Here is a 22,601-nt window from a genome sequence, read left to right as displayed (position 1 = left end):
AGCCACGATGATACTCTTATCACCCTTCTAGCTGATCACCTGCCTTTCCAGACCGGAGACGGGCGGCAAGTTTGAAGTCGACACCCAGAGGCCAGTTTGTCCCCCTTCCCGGTGAGAAATAAAAAGAAAGGAGGTTGGTTTCCAGGGCTGGCCAGCTAGAGGGTGGGTGGGACCACCACTGGAGGCCAAACCGCAACGGAGAGCAGGTCCGGGTGGAAGAGGTTTCCTCCGCGCCGCCGCTTTATTTCGCTGAACTTGCGGGCTCCAGAGACCTTAAACGGTTTGTTTGGGGCGCTGCTGCGGGCGGCACAGCTCACTCTCCCCGCGCCTGGGCGGCCGGGGAATTCCCCCGCACCCACCCGGGTCCGCCGCCCGCGGGAGCGCCCAGCAGGGTCAAGTGGATTCTGGGCCGCGGGAGAAGTGCGTGCAGCCCGGGCAAGGCCGGGCGGGGCCGGGCGCGGGCGGGCGGCCGAGGGATGCGACAGGGCCGGGCACGGCTCCGCATCCCCCCGCACTCGGCGCCGCCGCCTCGCCGCTCTCTCCCGCTTGCAGGGCCGCCCCGGGCACCCCAGGGCTGCTGAGGGGCGGGCGGGCCGTAAAAGCCACGAGAGAGGGGCGGCAGGGCGGCGCGGCCTGCGAGCGCCGCGGGACCCCGAGGAGCGGCGCGGGGAGTACAGGGGCGCGCGGGGCGGGCGCGGCGCGGGGCTCACGGTGCGCGCGCGCCTCGGCCTCGCCCGCGCACACGCGCCTCCCGGAGGAGAAAGAGGCGGGCGGGCGGGCGCAGAGCACCGCGGCGGCGGCGGCGGCGGCGGCGGCTGCAGCAGCGGGCCGGGCCGCCGCGAGGGAGGGGAGGAGGGGCGGGCGCAGGGCCGGGGGCGGGGGGCGGCGGCGGCGCGGCGAGCTCGCTGCTCTCTCTTGAGTGTGCCTGCGCGCAAGCCGGGGAGCGGGTGAGTGCGCCGGCCGCTGCAGCCAGCCCGGCCGGCCCGGAGTCGGGGGCGGGGGGCGTCGGGAGCCCCGACCTGGGGGTGGGCGGTGGGCGGGCGGCGGCCGCTCTGGCGCGGCTGGGATGCACCTTGAGCGGCGCCTTTCGTTGCAGCGCGCGGGCGGCCCGAGCCTCGGCGGCGGCGGTAGCGGCGGCGGCGACGCTGACACCTCCCACCATGGACAGCTTCGACTTAGCCCTGCTCCAGGAATGGGACCTCGAGTCACTGTGGTAAGTCCCCGTGCCGGCCGCTTCGGGCGGGCGGGAGCGGCGAGGGGCGGCCGCGGCGGCCCGCGCGTCCTCACCTGGGCCGGGGGCTCCGGGCGGCCGGCCGCCGTGGGGGTGGGGTGGGTCGGGGGCGCCTGCCTCGCCAGCCCTTTTCTGCCTCCCCGGGTGGGATGCGTGGCCGCCTGCCCGTCTGTTTCCCCCTCTCCTGTTCCCCTCCCTCGCGGCGGCCCGCCCCAGCCCAGGGACTGGTGATCTAGGTAGCCAGGGGCAGAGCGCAGCCGTGGGGAGGAAAAGAAGCGATTTGAAGACTGTGTCACTAATGCCTGGGGATCCACCCGTCGGCCCCCTGCTCCTCTCACTTCCTTTCCCTCCGACTGCGCCCCCTCCCTCCTCCGGCTGGCACCACCGACCCCCTGGAGTTGGTGCTGCTGCGAAGTGCCCTTAGAGGATGCTCCAGCCTCCCCGCCTGCGCCCGGTCTCGGCTGCATCCTTTCTGTCTCTCCCACCCACTTCCACCGAGATGGAAAAGTGAACATCCAGGGCAGGAAACGAGTGTTTCTCCGTGCCGGTATTCCAGAGGCCTTAGCCCAGGGAGACTCCTTTCCTCGGGGTTCACAGTTCCTCTGGGCCCTTTCTTCACACCTCGTCACAGTTGCACTCCTCCTCCCCACCCCACCCGGGCGCCCCGGGTATCCCTTTATGCCACGCTCACAGCTCGCAGCCCGGGGGGCACTCCAGGTTCCGTTTCTCGGGGGATCTCACACTGGGGAGCTGCTGTAGGTAAATCGCCGCTGGAAGCAGTTTAATTCCAGTTGCGGGTGTCTTAAAAATCCCATTGGCTGCTTTAGTATCTGTCTTATTCCCCCTTCTTTCTCTGCTCCCCCCAACCCCCCACTATCTCTTAAATGTTTCCAACCAGCACTATTCAGGTGGTAAAATTACTGCCTGCATATTCCTGGAGGAACTTGTGTTATGTTTAATATTTACGGGGATGAACATCTGCTGGAACAAGCATATTAACTGCACTCTGTTCTGCCTCTGGTAATCGCTTATTGTAGAGCTGAGCTTTTTTTTTTTTCCTTTTGCTTTAATTCAGTAAAGAGTTCACATGTGTCTAAAACTGCAAGTGGTGTGCACATGAATATGCAATGTACAATTTTAAAGCTAAACTGCTTTATGATTTATAACATATAGATGATATGTGGATCTGTGTGTATTTTCTGTGATTTAGGTTTCCAGTGACTTTTATTTTCCTAAAGACAGGTGTAACAAAATAAACTGGACACAAAGCTAGCACATTATCAAACGGTTTCTTATAAAAGATCCTATGATGAGTAAGTACAGCTTGCTCTGCATAATGTTGGTGCCTGTAAAACACACAAGGACGGGCCCTAATGTAATAAAACTTTTACGTATTGCACTGGAAACTTCAAAGAGCCAGGGCAGAAAGAATATGAAACATGTTATGACTGTGTAAAAGTTGCTAATTACTGTGTTGCTGCTCCTGGGGTTATTTCAGCCTTTCATTTACAGATACCTATTATTTTATAGGTTTACATTTAGAAATGTTGGTTTCTGGCGCAAATTCAATAGCTTTCCAGATAGCAACTGTACTTTTAAAATGCTGTTTGCTTTTAAAAGGCAGTTTTTCAGTCAAAGGGAAGAACTTACTGTTTCGGTATATTTTTATGCTGCTTGTCTGCTTGCTGACTCAAAGCGAACCCCCTTATGACTTTCATAAGTAATATTTTGAGATTATCAGCGTAATTTGTGGGGTCTTCCTGCACAGAACCTGAGCTCTGTTTCCTTTTGCATCCTTAGTTCCCAGCTGAATTACCCTGGAGCAGTGTCACAGAATAAATATCTGTTGAATTGACTTGAAATTTACATTAGCAGTACATTTATTACTTTAAAAAAAACAAAAACTTACACGTTTTTTAAAAAGTTGATGTACGTGCAATCACATTTTAATCAGTGCATCGAGTTTTGGCTTATGAAGGCATGTAGACTTTCTTGATCACAATATACTAGGACAGTTTGGCTTGACCGGGAGGGTTTCTAGTTTTGCAGATGTAGAATTACATTTTACAAAAGCTTATATGTTTCTGATAAGTTAAAGAAAAACCAAGCTTGAGTATGCATTTCTAATATGTTTAGACATTTTCTCACAGATGAATTTTTGGATGCTATGTTCTCAGTTTTATGGTTTACGTAAATTTTTAAGTTTATGGTTACTTTTAAGCTTATAGATGGTTCAAAATAACTAATATTTGAGAACTTTCTGTGTGTCCAATATTTTCATATCCATTGTTTTCTTATTTGAATCTCTTAATCCTGGAAAGGGTAAGTAAGTGGTAGTAGTTCCATTTTATAGATGAGGAAATAGAAGCTTTGAACTGTTAAATGACTTTACTGAGGTCATAAAACAGATGACAGCAGACTTTTTAAAACTAACATTTGCTGAACACGTATTATTTATCAGACACTGTTCTGGGTACATTACATGTTTTAGCTCATTTAATTATAAAGCAAGTACTGTTATTAGTTCCATTTTAAAGATAGGAAAATTGAAGATGGGAAGATAGGGTAACCTGCCCAGAGTCACACATCTAAAAATGGGGCAGCCATATTTCAACCAGAAATTAGCTTCAAAGCCCAGTGATCTGACTTCAAATCCGGTCAGACAATTGCCATTTTCTAGAGTACTTCAAATATCTCTCAGCTTATAAGGACAGCTCTGAAATTAATTACAAAACAAAACCTCGATGGACTGGAAGTTAAGGTCCTACTAAAATAACAAAGAGAGAGAGCCCTAAATGGTATTAAAATTAAAAATTTGAAAATAAACTACCATAGTTAGGAAAGTATACCTGTTAATTATGAATTATTGTATTAGAGCAATATACATTTTAAAGACCATTGAAAACTTCTTCCTTTGATTGATCATAGAAAAACTTTTTTGAAGGAGGAAGGAGGAGGTACAGATTAATGGCAAAAGAGAATCTTAATCCCTAAGAACTTTTTCTAATTGATGGACATCATTTTCCAATTGAACAAATTGGAATTTATTAGTGGTGACTGTGGCTTTGAATCTGAGCTAGTTTATTCTTGCAGTCACAGAGAGTGTCCTTATAGAAAATAAAAAGGGAAAAGCTCAGTTCTGTTGAATATAATCAATATACACAATCAATTGATAATTCACAACTACCTCCTTTGCCTTCTTGCACACTCTTCCTGCCACTCAGAAACATCCATACTTACTCTTCAGGATGGGTTTTTTGAGCCTGAATTATCCAGATGGCTGTTTCAACTTTTTCAGCCATACCTTAAAGTTGAAAAGGATGGCCCTAATTTCCACCTCTAATTCCACTTCCAATTTCTGGTTTGAAGCAAGACTGGAGAACTTGGAAAAAGGTTAAGGTGTTCATTCAGCACCCAACACTGTAGCTTTGTTCTGTAGAGTCTTGAAGAGTTGGGCATTCCGTGAGTTTACAGGGGCAGCAGATATGCAGAGGCACAAGGCTGCCCCCTCCACTCCCTGGTCTTCCTTCTGTGGTCCACCAGCTTTTGATTAGGTGCTAGACATATAAGCCATTCCTCAGGGCCTTTAAAATAATGACCATCCCTTTTAACAGGCTAACTGTTGCTTTCATTTAATTCGTTTAACAAATATTTGTTGATCATCTCTTAAGTAGAAGACCTTGTGCTGGTTTCTGTGGGAGATGCAAGGATGAGTAAGGCGTAGGTTGTACATATTAGTGTTATTGTCAAGTGAGGAAATTAAGACAAGAACACACATGAAAAAGGAAGTTTTCAACACTGGTGATTCAGAAAAGAGACCATATTTGGGACTTGGGTGGAGGATGGAAAGAGGAAAAATTGAGTTAAAAAACAAAGGCTTCCATGAAATAGGTGGCCTTTGAACTAAGTCTTGGAAGACAGATGGTGTGGGTGGGGGTATTGAGAGTACATGGAGACATCTTGGGCAAAGAAAACTTGAACAAGGGCTTTCATGGTGTCTCTAAAAGATCATTTTATGCATCATGGTGGAATTACCTATACTGTCTCTTTTAAAGATGCAGAACTTTGTAGTCATGAGGTAGTTTCAGTGAATGAGAAAAGTTTTCCAAAATGAACTTGTATTTCATCTTCCTTAAATGTTAACACATTTTAATCATTGGAGAGAAAGTCTATCAACATACAACAGTATAATAAATATTCTGATCTTCCCTACCACTCACCCCATTCCTCCACAGCTTCATATAAGCCAGAATCCACACACTTTTGTTCAGATAGGCATTATTCTTTATATTCCTTTAAGTTGGAGCCTTTGAAGTTATAATACATGGATCATTTCATACTCATCAACCTGTTCAATTCAATAAGCATTCACAGAATATTAGACAGAGGAGAGGTACCATCAGGGCAGTGACTTTCAAATGCTTCAGACCATGACCCCCAGTAACAAATACACGTTTAACACTGCCACCCACCACCCCTTGAACATGCATACACGTAAGTGAAACAAGAGCATCATGAAATAACGCTTATTACTATGTGTGATACACTTGGATATTTCCTATCCTCTTTCTTTCTCTTTTTTCTTTTTTTTAGAATTTCCCATTCATAGGCTGAAACCTGCAGTTTAGGAAACCCTGCTGTACAGGATGCAAAGGACAGTGTGTTTTTTGGGAACTTAATAGGAGAATAAGCCATACCCATAAATACCTGTAATCCAAGGCTGACACTGCCTGCTTGAGGGGGCATGGGCACATCCTGTTGAAAGTAAGATATTCATGGTGGGGTGGCATTTGAAATGGGTCCTGGAGTAGAATTTCAGGAGGAAATGGAAAGGAGGAAAACCACGTGGTGGGAAGACTGTGAATAGAAACATGGAGGGAATAAAGTGTGGATCTTGTTTGGTGAAGGTAGGCTAACACAGGCAGGGAGGGATGCAGAGGCACTAGCAGTTTAGTCTCCCTAAGGATGCTGCCTAGTAGTGCCCGCTGATGCTTTTGCTTGTCTTCAAATCAACTGCCAGGGGGCATGCGCAGGCCAGTGGGCGGCTTCCTCCAGGCCTTTTTAGACTTTACTTCATAGTGCCAGAAAATGCTACAGATCCCTGATCTTGACCTTCAGGTGCCTCTAACCCTTTCCTCCAGCTGCAGTAAAGCAAACATTTTAAGGCCTATTCCTATCCTTTTGGTCAGTCCTTATGGGTCAAAACAGAGTACAAAGAAAGGGCAGAAGGAGAGTGCACCTGTCTGAGCCCCAGGTGTCCTGGAGCTGATTGGTAGACAGCAGCTCTGCAGAGCTGCGTGTACTCACACTGGCCGAAGGTCACCGTGTAGTTGACTGCGTGGCTCTCATTGGCCCTCAGCATGGGCCTGGAGGGGCCTCGGCAGGTACGAGGAGGCAAAGCCTTCTCAGAAGAGAGGCTTCCAGGGCTAGGGCTGTGGGCAGCAGTGGGGAAGGGGCTGCTCATCAGCCTGGAGGAGGCAGGGGGCCTCGATGGGAAGCAGTGGAGTGTTGCATCCGCTGTGGAGGAGCTCAGCCCTCGTGTGGGGTGTGTTTTGGAGAAAGCTGGGTGGAGAGACTGGTTAGTTCAGGGCGCCGAGAACTTGGGGACTCCAGCTGGGCTGGGGCCCCAGAGGATACCAGGGAGGAGGAACCCAGGGAGTGTGCACCTTAATGTGTGGATAGGTTTTTAACCAAATGTATCTGGATGACGATGAAGATGAGTATTGTGTGTGGGGAAATGATTCCTTCCTGTGTTCCAGATTCTCTTTTGTGAAAATGTAGGAGGGTTTTAAAATGCTAAGAATCTATTTTGGGAGAATGTCCTTGTTAACTACAATGGGTCTAATCAATGACACTTGAGCAACTTGAACGAAGACCTTTGGCTTAATACAGATTAATAGGCAAATTAAGAAAAAAAAACCTCTCAATATGGAATGCAAGATTTTGTGTGTAAGTGGAATTTTTAACCTGGAATAGATTTGCCTGTTTGATTTTTTTTTTATTTTAATTTTTGGGAATAAAGCCTTGGTGGCAAAATCGAGGCCCCATAAAAGACGATTTTAATATCATTTAATGGTAACATAATTTTTTTGTTGTTGTTTTATTTCAAAGTGAAATCCATAAAACTTATTTTCAATGTTGGCTGTTCCCTTTTGTCTTGGAATTTAATTGAGGTTTCTGAATTCAGCTGGCCCCAACCTTGCTTTCTGTTTGGCCCTGGGCAGCTCATGATTTTTCTCATTTCCTATTCTCAGTCTTGGTTTAATCACTTATAAAATGACAGCACTTAGACTGGCCTACCTCATAAGGTTGTGATGTTAAGTAATAAAAGTGTCAATTGCTCTGAATGCCAAATGTAGCTCTTCTATACCCTTTGCTTTCTTAAAAATGTCTCTTTTTCATAAACAAGGAAGAATACAGAAAGGCCGCATAAGGTCAGATTCAGCAGTCCATGCGGTGCAGCGTTCTGTCCCTGGCAACAGGACCCTGGGACGGTTTTGAGTAGAGGTTGGTAGCTTTTCTTAGTCGTGCATCATAGTCCAGCAGACAAATATGCTCTTACTTACGGTGGTACTACTCACATATGTAGATCTATTAACCATTACATAATCTTTTATGTTTCACTGAGAATGTATTGCATTACCAACCATTACATCGAATGACTTCATTTGGCACTGTGGGTCTCATTAAATTATGTCAGGCTAATCATAATTTAGTTTCACTGGAAACAAAATACACAGTGTTTATATCAGAGTAAGAGGACACCACCCAATCCAAGGAACTAAATGGGTTCAATCTAAGGAAACTACCACCCGGGATATGATAGGGGCCTTAAGTGTTTGAAGGCATTTAGCTGGGAAGTGGGAATAGAGTTGTTCTGGGTTGCTCAAGGGCACGAGTAAGATCAGTGGGTGTGAGAGCATTTAACAGTGATGTGATGTGGGCTGTCTCAAAGGGTAACAATTACCTGACTTTGTAGAAAGACATTCCTGGGTAGGCAGAGCGGCAGCAATAGGCTATCTCCGAGATTCCTTCCAGCTTCAAAATTCTATGATCATTCCCCTCACAGGGTAGCAGGAATCAAAGAGTGCAGAAGTCATTAATTGTATTCACTTGTGTATTTTTCCTCTGCAATTTCCCCACTCACCTGTGGAGAAAGGCATAGAGGGTACTTAAACTTCTTCACATAATTTCTTCCCAGGAGGCTCATTGTTAGCGGAGGTAAACAAAAATGACTGTAATTTGGAGACCACTTTAACATAGCAACTCCATTTAGAGAGTTATGTGCTTAACTTGATACTGGAAATAATTTTATTTTTCCTTTTATATGGGCAGGAAATTAGTTTCGAAAATCCCCTAGAGGACCATGATGTGAGTCTGTTGGTCTTAAATTTTTCTTCTCATATCTGTACTGTTTACCTGCGTTATGAAGTGACAGAACAGAATTTCAGCCAGTGTTCATTGACATGTTAATTAGTTACCTGGCAATTTAGATAGGAAGAGGCTTTACTGTAGTGGATCACCACCAGTTCTGGGAAATAATCTGTTTTTGTTTTAAAATTTCAAAATATATTTGTTTTCACGTAGAATGCTTGTAGAAGAAGAAAAGACCCAGGGTGTAGAAAATAGTTTTGAGAGCATAGGTCAGTATGCTTAGCTCTCACTCGGGGAATGCTTCTCAAACTTCCATGTGCATCCAAATAATCTAGAGGCCTTGTTAAAATACACATTCTAATCTAATAGAACCAGGAGTCCACATTTCTAACTGGCTCCCAAGTATTAGTTTTGGTCCACAGACCAAACTTTGACTTGTAAGGACTAAATGGACAAAAATTTCCTTTGAAAAGAAGACCTTTCAAAATTTGCATTTCCTTCTCCCTGTTTTGGGGACACCTTTGTGTAATAACAGTACAGTTCCATAAAGCTTGACGGTTGCGTTTAGATGCAGTATTTATTTTATTTTTGTGAGTCTTTCTAATACAATTCTGATGAGTGAGGGGGTGGTTAATTGTATTCTGGTGGAGATATGGTGGGAAGTAAACATAAAAACCTAAGTAAACACAATTTGTAATAAATAGGCTAATCACTTTTTATAGCCTCTCAGTTCTCATCATTCCTTCAAAGCCCGGGACCTTCTGTTGTATCGGGCTCGAATGCTGAGAGTAACTGTATAGTCTTACAGACACTTTTGGATTTGTGGAGAATCTCTCAGTAACCCCTGTGGATGCCCAGGATTCAGACCAAATGTCCCCATTCTCTCCTAGCCATTCTGTCTTTGGGAGGGCTGGGGTTGGGGGGATGGGAGTGTTGGGGGTGGGGTCAGCTATTTGCAGAATTATTGCACTACCCCGTGGCCATAGCTGCAAATTGCAACTTTCCTAGTGTCCTACGAGAAATCACAACTGAAGACTCTACGTGGAACCCATAGTAGGTTTCAGATACTTCAGTTGGGGACCTTGCATCCCCGCTCGGCCAACCTTCTTCTCTCTGCGCCGTTACCGGAGTACCCTGAGTCCATTAGGTGGCCAAACTTAGCTGCAGTTTCCATGTGTAATTTCCAGTTCTATTTCATTAGAATGTTTGCATATAGGATGGATAATGCAAGGAAATGTTGCACAATTGACTTTGCATGTTCTGTGATACTGACAGGAAGTTTATTGACTTTATCTTTCTAAGGAGGGTGTGTGCGTGCACATAAGCACATGAGTGCACATACACACATTTTCATTCTCTGAAGTAGACATTGAAGACTGCTACTGACAAGAGAAACCCAGACTGGATTTAAACAATGGGGGGTATTCCAGATTTGGAAAAGAAAGGTGAATTTTCACGAATAGTAGGGCAAATTTAAATCTTGCAGTCTTGAGACACGTGAACTCGTGGATGAAGTTCTTGCAATAGTGTTTAGCATTATTTGGGGCCATAGTTGGTATCTGTACTCCTGGTAGCCGTGATACTGCCTTAATACGTCATAGTCCATTATATGATCTGACTAATTGTGTTTAACCATTTCTTGTAATATGCAACATTACTTTCCACTGTTCTAACTCTTCCTTCAGATTGTGGGGGAGGAGAGAGGAAAACAGTTGCCCTCAAGCCTGAAGGTAGGTCAGGCCCGTAGTAAGATAAGCAAGTATTTGATTATTGCTTCAGTACTAGTGTCATCAAATTAATACAGTTTCTTTTACATTTAAGAAAATACAGTTTACTATCAATAAATAGTACAAATAACAGGTGATTCAGACAACCCGCCCCCCACCACACACCAAAAAAAAAAGACTGTCAGACTCAGAGGTTTACTCTGTTGGGTCCCAAGAAGCGACATTCAGGAGTTCCTTAAGAATAGAAAAAGCTACTGATGATGGTCAGGTAGGTTCTGACCTTTAGATGCATTGTCTGGGCTTTTGCCCTGGGACCCTGCCTTGGTTGAGAAGATAGGTTGCCCACATGGCCCACTTGCTTCTTGTCCCACCAATCATATTCCATGGCAGGGAGGCTTCTAGTGTCCTTTCTCAGAACTGCTGAGGTAGAAACTACAGTTGGAGGCCGAGGACTTTATCTCAGGCTGTGAAGTAGGTATCTTCACTGGCCATAGACTCTGTAGTTTACTAAAATAGAAGCTCAGAGCATCCTGGGAAGAAGCAGGTAGACTTTCCTTGCCAGGCCTTCTCAGTGTGCCGAAGATTCAAATGTTTACTTCCTTCCACTTTCTGAAACATCCTGCCAGGCCCCTCTTCTGTTAAGGAGTGCAGGGGTCCCCAGCCCCCGGGCTGTGGATCAATATTGGTCCGGGGCCTGTTAGGACCTGGGCTGCAGAGTGGGAGGTGAGTGGATGGCGAGCAAGAGAAGCTTCATCTGTATTTACAGCTGCTCCCCATTGCTAACATTACTGCCTGATCTCCGCCTCCCGTCAGATTAGCACTGGCATTATATTCTCACAGAAGCATGAACCCTATAGTGAACCGAGCATGTGTGGGATCTAGGTTTCTCCTTATGAGAATCTAATGCCTGATGATCTGTAACTGTCTCCCATCACCCCCAGATGGGACTCTCTAGTTGCAGGAAAACAAACTCAGGGCTCCCACTGATTCTACATTATGGTGAGTTGTATAATTATTTTATTATAGATTACAATGTAATAATAGAAATGAAGTCTACAATAAATGTAATGCACTTGAACCATCCTGAAACCATCTCTCCACCCCTGGTCCATGGAAAAAAAGTCGTCTACAAAACTGGTCCCTGGTGCCAAAGAGGTTGAGGACCACTTCTGTTGTGGGAGTAGAAATGAGGATTCACCTTAAAGGAGGATACAGCTCTAGCAACCCTTTGAGCAAAATATATGAGCTGTCTGTCATCTCGAGGAAATAGATGGCAACATCAGAAATGGGAAGACCACACTACTCCAACTCACATCTATGTCTATGTGCAGTAGGCCCTCTGTTTTGATGGATAATCAGATGGTCTCACGTTTTTACCATGGTGTGCCACCTGTGGCCCTAGCTGTGTGACTGTCTAGGATGAAGTCTGGGCTCAGGTTACAGTGATGTGGATAAAGTCCGTTCTGCCTGAGCACCAGTGATCATCACGTGCGGCGGCATATTGTAGAGCCCAGGACAGAGTTTGACTTGGAGCCTGCTGAGTTTTTTGCAGAAGCATGTCTACGTGCAGGAGAGGACAGCTCAGCGGGTAACACCAGGACTCTCTTATTTGTGTTCCTTTCATTGAAGGTAGTTCCTTCCCCAGAACATGGCATAGCTGCTTTTGAGAACCAATCCTTGTAAGTGACTTCCTTTAATTTTTTTCAATAAGTAGAGTTTAATCTTTGAATATGAATGGAACACCTGAGAAAATTCTTTGGAGTCTGAGAGGAAGTAGGGTATGTTGGTTTCTAATAGTTAGGTAAATAATTAGTTACATAAATTGATTTCTTTTCCTTACTTTTATTCCTCAGCAGGACAAAAGTAATATTTTAGACAAGGCATGGTGGTACAGGCTGATCACACCTGTAATCCCAGCATTTTGGGAGGCCGAGGAAGGAGGATGACTTGAGCCTAGGAGTTTGAGACCAGCCTGGGCAACATAGGGAGACCCCATCTCTACAGAAATATTAGCTGGCCATCGTGGTGCATGCCTGTGGTTCCAGCTACTTGGGAGGCTGATGTGGGAGGATTGCTTGAGCCTGGAAGGTCAAGGCTGCAATGAGCCATGATTGCACCACTGCACTCCAGTCTGGATGGCAGAGAGAGACCTTGTCTCAGAAAGAAAAAAAAGGTAATGTTTTAGAGCCCTAAAATATATAATAATGTAACGCAATCCGTCTACAGTATAGAGGGCTTGAAGCTGCTCTTTGTAACTTTCTTCCTCTGGATTTCTAGGTGTCTGGGTTGAGATGAGCATCCTTTTATTGAGCCAGACACAGAAGTGAAGAGACCACATTTCTAGCCCTTGATATGTTTATATTTTAGCCTGGTAATAAGAACAGATTATTTCATTAGTCTAAGTAGACTTTTTACCTGCCCCAAATCCTGTGGAGTATGTACGGGGGTACCCTACTCAGCATGGTATTTTAGGGATGATTTCCTAGAGAAAGTGACATCTGATTGCAGTCTTAAAGGAAGGATAAGAGTTAGCCAGGCTGGGAGCGGGGTAGGGATATGGCAGGTACGATAATGTAAGGAAAGGCAAAGAGGTGAAAATTAGCAAGTTGTGAACAATAGCAGTGACCAGTGCAGGTCAGTTTCAGGTCCCTGGCATTCAGGTTGGGAATGGCAGGATGGGAGGTTGGGCAGTGGAGCTGGGAGCAGCTCTCAGAGGGCCTTGCATGGCTTTCTAAGGAGCTCAAACATTTTCCAGTAGGTGATGGCCTGCATGAGGGCTTTAAGCAGGGGAGCAAAATGGTCACGTTTGCATTTTTTTATTATTTCTAGAAGGCACTATAGATGGATGAGTCTGGTGGTTGTGAGAGGCCATGTCTGAAGGTCAGGAGGTCAGTGAGGAGTGAGGGCTGACTAGCCTGGGCCGGTGAGGATGGAGAGGAGGAGAGGGAGTAGAGAGCTGTTGGGGGCATGACACAGACAGTATTCACTCATTTTCTGGGTAGAAGGGGATGAGGGTGCTTTGAGGCTATCTAGCTTGTGTGATGAGATAGGGAAAGTAGGAGGAAGAGCAAGCTGAGTGGGGAAAGAGGAACCCTTTGGATTTAAATGTATTGCGTGTAAATGCCCTTGGACCATGAAGATAAAATTGTCTCTAGGAAGTTTACTAAAGATCCTGACATTTAGGGAAAAGGTCAGGATGGAAATAAGTGGGCGTTATCAGCATACAGGTGCTGGTGAAAGCCTTGAGATTGGACAAGATTGTCTAGGGCGGAGGAGGAGAGAATGAGAAGTAGGCTGCAGGCACCACGGTGTAGTGGGAGGGAAAGCAGCCGGTGAAGAGGGTTGAAAAGGAAAGATCAGCCAGGGCGAGGCCATGAGCCAGTGGGGTCTGTGACCAGCTGCTTTTTGGAGTTGGCAGTGAGGGTGAAAGAATGGATGGGAGGTGGGAGGGCGGCTATGCGTGTTCCCACTCTTGAGGGGAAAGATGGGCAAACTGATGGAGGAAGGCCTCAGAGGAGATGTGGGCAGGCCAGGCCCAGAATCAGAGGAAGAACGCGAGGGTGGAATCTGTGTAGATACTTTGGGATAAACCTTGTGGGTAGGGGTGATATTTAACAAAATACCTATGAGAAATGGAAGTTTCACAGAATGGAACTACAAAGAAGAGGGTAATATGAAACATCAGATTGTAAAGGGAAACTAGTAGGTTCTTCCTAGTTATTTTTGAATATATGACTTAAAAGTCCGCATAAGCCCCTTTGGCATACATCTATGTCATACTATCTGTAATTTAAAGTAATTTTGATTGAGAAGTAATTTGGTGAAGGTACATAGCCAGGAAAAATTAGTGAGCTTGTCTAATTGTGGGCTGTTTTAAATGGATTTTTAAAAACTATTTTCAAATAGAAAAGACAGGAGTCCCACGATGTTGTCCTAACGTTTGATGGCAGATTTTCCTTGGAAAGACATCTAGGCCAGCTGGCCTCAGGGTGTTGTGTTTCTTACACATAAGAAGTGTCCTGAGCCTTTCACAGGTATGTATTATCTCTTTTAATCTTCATTACCTGTAGGGTGGATTCTACTATTCCCCATTTTATAGAGAAGGAAACAAAGGCACAAGGTAACTTGCCCAAGGTCCCATAGTTAGTAAGGCAGAGCTGGGAATTTAATGCAGGTAGCCTGGCTCCAGAGCCCCTACACATCACCACTATCCTGTAATATGTATCTCTTAATGACAGAATCAGAGGGCATGAGTACTGAGGTCCCATGCGACCTTAAAATATATGTGATATAGGCTGGGCGTGGTGGCTCACGCCTGTAATCCCAGCACTTTGGGAGGCCGAGGTGGGTAGATCACCTGAGGTCAGGAGTTCCAGACCAGCCTGGCCAATGTGGTGAAACCCTGCCTACTAAAAATACAAAATTTAAAAATACAAAAATTAGCTAGGCGTGGTGGTGGACGCCTGTAATCCCAGCTCATCGGGATCCTGAGGCAGGAGAATCACTTGAACCTGGGAAGCAGAGGTTGCAGTGAGCCTAGATCGCACCATTGCACTCCAGCCTGGGTGTCACAGCGAGACTCCTTCTCAAAAACAAACATATATATATATATGTATGTATGTATGTAAATGGTCTCCAGCAGGTACAGTGAGGTATATATGGAAAAACATCTTGAGATTTATTTTGAACTTTCAAACTCAGAATGAATAGTATATTGTGTTCAAGCTATTACAGATTTTAGACTAGTGGAATTCTAATTAAACAGGCTTCACTGTGCATGGATTGTCTGTAGTTCACTGTCATTAAGTCCTGCTGTTTTTGTTAGTATTTAAAATGTTAAAAATACACTGCCTATATAATTTCTTGCAATTAGTTGTATACTCCATAAAACCTCTAATTTGACAAATTTTATGGATGAAGACAATGGTAACAACTGTTTGCCACATCTGGTCAAATCTACCATAACACCTAAATGTAACTTCATTAATAACAATAATGATGGTACAGCAATACAATTTATAAAACCACTTCATGAAAGTCATCTGAAATTGTAAGGTGATTTTTTTTTTCATGTAGATCATTTTGCTGTTTCTTCTTAGAAATGGAACTACACATGGTGTACAAATGGTCTGTACAAAGTCAGACCATCTCTTCTAGTTGTATGACTCTAATTCTAGAAAGAAGCATTGCTTCAGTGACCTGGAAAGAGTAAACAGGCTTAATTTATATCACGAGATAGTTGGGTAAAGTAAAAATGATAGATTCTTAGCTTAAGGGATTGGGACATATTAAAACAGATGACAAAAATAACTTTAAATGTTTTTTTAAAAAATCTTAGAGAATAAGACGTTAAATAACGTTAGTTATTTTTGAATATTTTAAGTTAGGTTAAAAAAAATCCACTTGGCTGGCAAAATTCCAGAAAGGCACGAATTAATGTTGGGAAGGGCAAAGGGTTCAGAGCCATCCAGCAATGGGTTCAGATTCTGACATGCCATTTACTAGCTGTGCCATCTTTAGTAACTCAGCATCTCTGAGCTTCAGGTTCCTTATATATAAATGAGATAATACTGTCACTGATTTGTTATGGGGATTAAATTAGATAATGTTCTTTTATACTATCAAAGATCTGTGCCTTACTGTGTGGTTTTCTTTTTACTGGAATTTATTATCTCGTGAATTTTTATGGCAAAAAAGGGGGACTGATGAAGAAAGTCAGTGAAATGTTTCCATCCAAAGGGCTAAAGTTTTCATGTGATAGGTTTAAAATATTAGGGAAATTGTCTTTGAAAGTGTTTGCCTTCACCATGTAGAGAGTAAGGTATACTTATATGTCTTGATTCTTTAATTAATAATTCGACTTTGCTTGCCACTTAAAAATTAGAATCAAATTCTGAATGGAGAGTAAAGCCCACATATATATTGGAAGGGAACCAGGCAATAAACTATCTGATTTACAGAAAACAAAGTGTTTCATGAATGCTTTCCTTAACCCAAGCTTTACTTGTAACTTGAGCCAGGTTTTAATTTTTGAAAAAATTTAAATGGCAAAAATATGTGAACCTACAAATAAATAGGGAGTGATAATCGACTGTTGAGGCCAGTGAGTGAACGTGTATTTGATGTGGCCCTGAGATAGAGGCTGTGAAAGGAGTTTCCTGGAACTTATCAGGAGCCCCCAGAGCATAGGTTCACACTTTATACCTCGTGACTTTTAGAGCAGGCAGGGTCTGTATTCAGGCCTGCAGAAAAATAAGTGTAACACTTTTTTAAAATGTATAACAATGCTTCTTTCTATTTGTGTTTGGTTTATATTACCTAAGAAGCATGTTCTGTATTATTAGGATAGATACCACTTCTGTGTTTATTCTAATGAAAATGAAGAAGGAAACAGTCCCCACCAATATTGTGAAGTACTTAATGGTTTTTAAAATCTTTACGAGACTGGCCAAAGTAAAAATATAAATGAAATAAATGGAAATGTAGCCGTTACTTTCCAGTTTATGTGAGTATCACGATGCAATATTTGGAACTGATTGCAACTGCTGTAAAGTACTTTGAGGAAACCCATTAGAAGAGAATTAAAACTTGAACAGATTAGCTGATCTCTAATGGCCCTAGGAGAAGATCTTGTATTGCTTCAAAATCTTTTCTGATTCTCATCACTCAACCTTCTTGGCTATGTAAACAAAGGAAGCTTTCCTTTTGTTTTCCAGACGTTTGGAAAACAAAATTTTCCAGAGCTGTGCATCTGCCAGGAAATGTTTCTTTTAACCTGATATCATAGATAGTTTTAAAAGCTAAAGTAAACTCTGGATTTTAGATTTCTATATCCCAGGTTGAGAGTAATAAAACTAAAAGAGGAAGCTTTTTAGGTGCCAGTGATTATTTAGTGATGGTAACATGGATCACTGATATTTTTACTTTCTTTTTTATATATTGATTTTGTATCCTGTGACCTCGCTGAGTGTATTCATGAGTTCTAATAGTTGTGTGTGTATTTTTTAGGATTTTATATATATACACATGATTATGTCATCTGTGAATAGAGATAGTTTTGCTTTTTCCTTTCCAATCTGGTTGCTTTTAATTTTTTTTTCTTGCCCGATTGGCCTGGCTAGGACCTCCAGGAGAATGTTAAATAGTAGTGGAGTGAGTAGACATCTTTGGTTTGTTTCTCATCTTGAAAGGAAAGCTTTGTCATTCACTGTTGAGTGTGATATTATCTGTTGGTTTTTCATAGATGCCCTTTATCAGGTTAAGGAAGTTTCCTGCTGTTCCTAGTTTGTTGAGTGTTTTTAAGCACAAAAGGATGTGTGATTTTTGTCAAAGGCTTTTCTACATGTATTGAGATGGTCATATGGGTTTTAATCTATTAATACTTTAATATACTTTAATATACTTTAATCTATTAATATACTTTTATATACTTTAATACATTGACTGATTTTTATATGTTGAACCAACCTTGCATTCCTGGACTATGTCACTTGGTTATGGTATGTAATCCTTTTATATATCACTGGATTTGTTTTGCTAGTATTTTGTTGAATGACTTCCTTTTTCAGAAACAGTTGCCTATTTTCTTCTTTGATAATGAAAGTTCATGAACACTTGAGATAAAAATAAAGGAATATGACTTTCTCAGGACATGCCCATGGAAACACGAAAGCATTGTTTCTGCATATTCTCTGAATGATAGTCCTGTAAGTAAGAATAATCAAATCTCAAAAGAGATTTGAGTACTTGAGTACTCAAGTTCAGAAACTTTTATGTAATGATTTTCTGAAGAATTTTAACTTGACACCTGCTTAAGAAATTCTCACATAATGTAATTTCTTATATGACACATTTAGATTTTAGGTCCTGATCTTGTGCAAGTCATTCAATTTTTTTTAGCTTAGTCCTCTAATGAGTAAACAGGATTATAAGGAAGAAATAAAATATGCAGTGAATATGCTCATAAGATGTTACATGATGGGAAGATATAATTATTTATATAAGTATGTAAGTATAATTATTTAGCACAGGGGTAAAAAATTCAAATACCTTCAGGGCCAAGTAGACCAAATAAATGTCTGAAACAGTATCACAGTTGGATGTGATGGGGCTTGTGGTCCATTTGAAGCTCTACTACCTTGCTTCAATACATTCAGATGAAAAGCAAAACAAGCAAAATACAGTAAACAACACACACCCACACCTGTACTTTCTTGGCCAGACATCATACATCTGCCTCTATAGAATCCCTCATTCAGGGGGTCACTGATGAAGTGTAAGGCCCTAGGGTTGAGCTTCAGCTCCACTGTGGGGTAGGTTTTTACCTTCTCCAAAGCTTCATTTTCTCATTTGTAAAATGCAGATAATGTGTGTCTTGCCTAACTCTAAGGGCTGTTGTAAGAGGTTTAAATGGCATAACAGATAGAAATGATTCAAGCTATTAAGTCCTTTATAAATGTGTGGAATGTTGTTTCTCTGTATAAATCTTAGCTTTTCTATTATCTCAACAAAGGTGATTTTCTTGTTAAGAAGGTTTAGTAGCCAGGCATTGGACAACTCCAGAAGGCCAGCTAGAAACATCTTTTTTCAATAGTAGAATAACCTTGGTAATAGATTCAAGCCCATTTAATATACTTCCTGGACTTGAATTGTTACCTGGATCACCCCACTGTCATTCCAGCAAAAAGATCCATGATACGTTCTTCTCACCATTAGGTTCTCTTAGATATGGGAATTCTTTTTTCTTTTCTCTCTCTCTTTTTTGAGATGGAGTCTCACTCTGTCACCAGGCTGGAGTTTAGTGGTGTGATCTTGGCTCACTGCAACCTCTGCCTCCCAGGTTCAAGTGATTCTCCTGCCTCAGCCTCCCAAGTAGCTGGGATTACAGGCTTGTGCCACCACACCCAGCTAATTTTTGTATATTTAGTAGAGACTGGGTTTCACCTTGTTGGCCAGGATGGTCTCAGTCTCCTGACCTTGTGATCTGCCCACCTCGGCCTCCCAAAGTGCTGGGATTACAGGCATGAGCCATGGCGCCCAGCCAGATATGGGAATTCTTATGACACTATGGCAGTATGCATCATAATTCTTACAAACCAGATACATTATCTCTGAGGGCTTTCTGTGGTTTCCTTAACATATAAACAGAAAGTCAGAACTTGTTGTATTTTGGTATACTAGAATTTGAAAGAGTTTGATTTCTACAGTTTTCTGACCACAGTAAATCCAGTGTTGACATCTTGATGCCTTTGTGGGAGGTTCCTTTGGAGCAAGATGTAACTCAGTGTCTGCACAAGATCTGCCAAGTAGCCCTGCCACAGCAGTGCCTGGCTCAGCTTACTAGTTACCCTCAGTCAGCGGGCACAGTCATAGAAACCCACGAGTCACAAGTTTATTGAGCTCCTTCTATGCATAACACACCATGCTGGCTTGGGGACAGTGAAAAAGTAATGTGGCCCCTGCTCTGAAGAAGCATGGAGTCTGTGTGGAGAGAAACCAGTATCCATGAAATAGCTATAGAGTCTGGACTCTTGGACTGTTAGATCTGTCTGGAAGGAACCTTAGAGATCATCTTTCCAGCCCACCTCCCTCAATGTACAGCAGAGAAAGTGATGCCTATAACTAAATGCTTATTTCTATGGTGTAGTCCAGGGCTTATCAAATTTAGCTGCTTCCCAGAATCAGCTGGGGATCCAGAGTGCCTGGGGTAGGGACCCAGGTATTTATTTTGGAGTTCATAAGTCCTATAGTTTGCTTATTGGATTTGGGAATGGTAACAGGCTGAGAGTGGTTTTGGAATCTAGGATTTTGGGAGCTCAGTGAAAGACCAAGAAAGAGCCTCAGGGAGGAAATGATGTTGCATAAAGGGCAGGTAAGATTGAGGGAGACTGGAGCCTTTGGGGACAGGGGTGCAGTTAGGTGAGCATATGGAATTGGGAACTGGTGTGGCCGAGGTGATGAGGAAGATGTTTTACGTCACGTGACTCTCTTGGACAGCAAGGGGCTGTAGGAGATTTTGTACATTTGCTTTGAAAAAGAGCTGTGAGTATATTTCTGCTAAAGACATTTTGATAGTCAATTTGACTTTTTTTTTTTTAGTTTTAAGAAAGTATGTAATTGCATCACAATTAATTCTTCAATTCCAAATTGATTATATTCGACAAAGCGTGATATTTTTCTTTAGTTTATCATCAAATCATAGTTAGTCTGTTCACTGCCATCTCAAAATAGTTGAGACAGAAACTGATAATTTTGTATACTCAGTTTCCGAATTTCTTGGTAATAAAGTAATTTATATGCAATATGCTAATATATTTGGATAAAGAGGTGTACTATGGACAACCAATGAAAACACTTAACATCTATAAGCTATTCTTTTTGAAAATAATTTTATTCTCAAAGTGAATTCTCTTTATGGAACTTTTGATATTATAAAGATACACGAAATTGGACAATCTATATAAATCCTTCATAATAAATTTTATTTCTCCAATGTGTATAATAAGACATCAAACAGAATTCCCCTTTTATGAAAAAACTATTTTATACCTATGCATATTTTATGGTTGTGTTCATTTTCTTTTTCTAAGAAATTTAACTCTATGATTTAACTTATTTTTAAACGATGCATAATACGTGCACATTTTTATAGGGTACGTATAATATAATATTTTGTTACATGCATACGACGTGTAATGATCAAGTCTGGTTGTGTTCATTTCACTGTCGAACTGTCAAACACAAGCAGTGCTTTTTGGTACTGTTACATTTCTCCTTGTTGTGTGGGTTGGTTGAAGGCAGGAACTGTAATGATTAAGAACACAGACTGTGAACCAGATAGTCTGAGTTCTGATCCCCTGCTCTGCCACCAGCTAGCTGTGGATAGCTCTATTTTGTCTATTGTGAATAGTGGAAAAGAAAGAATAATACGTACCTCAAAGGATTAATGTGAGGATTAAATGAGCTAATATGCGTAAAGTGTTTAGTACAGTTAAGTGCACAATGTGTTTAGCTATGATTACTTTTTAAGTTGTTATTAATTGTAGCTGGCATATGACCTGACACATAGCATGTGGTCGCCGAGTGTTTATTGACTAAATGAGGGACTGTACCGATTACTGTAAAGTTTTGTTAAATAGAATACTTTTTTTTCTAAGCTATTTCCATCCTGTATATGCCCAAAGGCATCAACAATTTGTAGTAGAATAGTTTAATCAGTGAGAGAGAATATTTGGTCAAAAAGATTGGTGTGGTCACGTGGAATAGCTAATGGCACTGTGGGCAAGGGAACATTTTTGATGAAGTCATAGAACTTTGTGGCTTTCACTGGGAATCTCGAGCCTGAGCCAGAACCCATACCGTCTGATTCCAGGCTGAGACAAGGGCAGCACTTTGTTCAGTGGCTGGTCCCTGGAGCTGGCTCACTCCGTACTCCCTTCTCTCCCTCTCTGCCTCTCCTTCCACCACCCCCTCCATTCTTCCTCCCTTAGCCTTGTAAAGCTGAGGATCCTTAACCTGGAGGTCAGGGAATCCCTCTCATCGTCTCTGCATTTCTGTTCCTTTCTTTCATTTTTGTCTTTCCTGAGAAGACAGCCTACAGCTTTCATCAGACTCCCAAAGGCAGCCGTGACCCCGCTTCCGTGAGGGTGGAAGTGGCTCTGGCAGCAGCCGTTTTCCATTATGAGCAGGCGCTGAGGTGGAGCTCAGAGAACTGTAAGAACTCTATTGCTTTGTGAGTGTTTCTAGCAGCAAAGGAAACGGTGGGCACGAAGAGGGTAGCTTGGCAAAGCCGTTGTGCCAGGCAGAAGTGCGGTGATTGTGAAGACACTGTGGAGTCCCTTCTTGACTGCCTGGACCAGCAGGGGCTTGCGGTGACCTGTCCAGGTCATAAGCACAATGCAGGCCATGGTTTGGAAGGTACTCCAGGAAAACCTCAGGGCCTGTAGGGCGTTCTCTTGTCTGTCATTTCCTCATGGCACAGTGGAGTCAGGTAGCTTAGATTTGCCTGAACTGCAAACCGGCTGATTGACCTAGACTTCCTCGTAGCAAGTCACAACTGCTAAATGAAAAATACCGTTGTTCTTTGCTTAAAATAAAATTAAGGGGGCAATGTTGTATATAAATACTTAGGAATTCAAATGCATTATTTTAAGAGCCATTTTATTTCATTTTATTTTATTTTATCCTTTTTTTGAGACGGAGTTTTGCTCTTGTTGCCCAGGCTGGAGTACAGTGGCACTATCTGGCACAATCTTGGCTCACCACAACCT

The 22,601-nt window shown here is 43.0% G+C and overlaps 1 protein-coding gene across 19 annotated transcripts in view, besides 2 other annotated features; it reads left to right on the top strand.

Moving 5' to 3' along the window:
• The window catches only part of AFF3 (ALF transcription elongation factor 3), a 597,172-nt gene that overhangs the window by 36,976 nt on the left and 537,595 nt on the right, over positions 1-22,601 (top strand). For 10 of the 19 annotated variants that reach the window (NM_002285.3, NM_001386135.1, XM_047444279.1 and 7 more), the window contains 2 exons: positions 32-111; positions 1,097-1,213. The exons of 1 other annotated variant lie outside the window; for it this stretch is intronic. In NM_002285.3, coding sequence (NP_002276.2) covers positions 1,161-1,213 — 53 coding nt within the window. In that variant the 5' untranslated portion in view covers positions 32-111; positions 1,097-1,160. Of the gene's footprint in view, positions 1-31; positions 281-866; positions 948-1,096; positions 1,214-22,601 lie in introns of those variants that run through there. 8 more of the 19 variants (XM_047444284.1, XM_047444285.1, XM_005263943.5 and 5 more) reach the window with 3 other exon arrangements.
• Positions 791-816: a tandem repeat, named in NCBI's record as "fragile site, folic acid type, rare, fra(2)(q11.2)".
• Positions 791-816: a repeat instability region, noted in NCBI's record as "repeat instability region; expansion of the (CGG)n trinucleotide repeat (CCG relative to the plus strand of the reference genome) is associated with intellectual disability". NCBI's record gives the evidence for it as "EXISTENCE:polymerase chain reaction evidence [ECO:0000082][PMID:24763282]" and "southern hybridization evidence [ECO:0000078][PMID:24763282]".

The sequence above is a fragment of the Homo sapiens genome, chromosome 2, assembly GCF_000001405.40.
Source record: "Homo sapiens chromosome 2, GRCh38.p14 Primary Assembly".
Classification (NCBI taxonomy): Eukaryota; Metazoa; Chordata; class Mammalia; order Primates; family Hominidae; genus Homo; species Homo sapiens.
The sequence above is the reverse complement of the archived record's forward strand: the minus strand, read 5'-3'. Positions and strand labels throughout refer to the sequence as shown.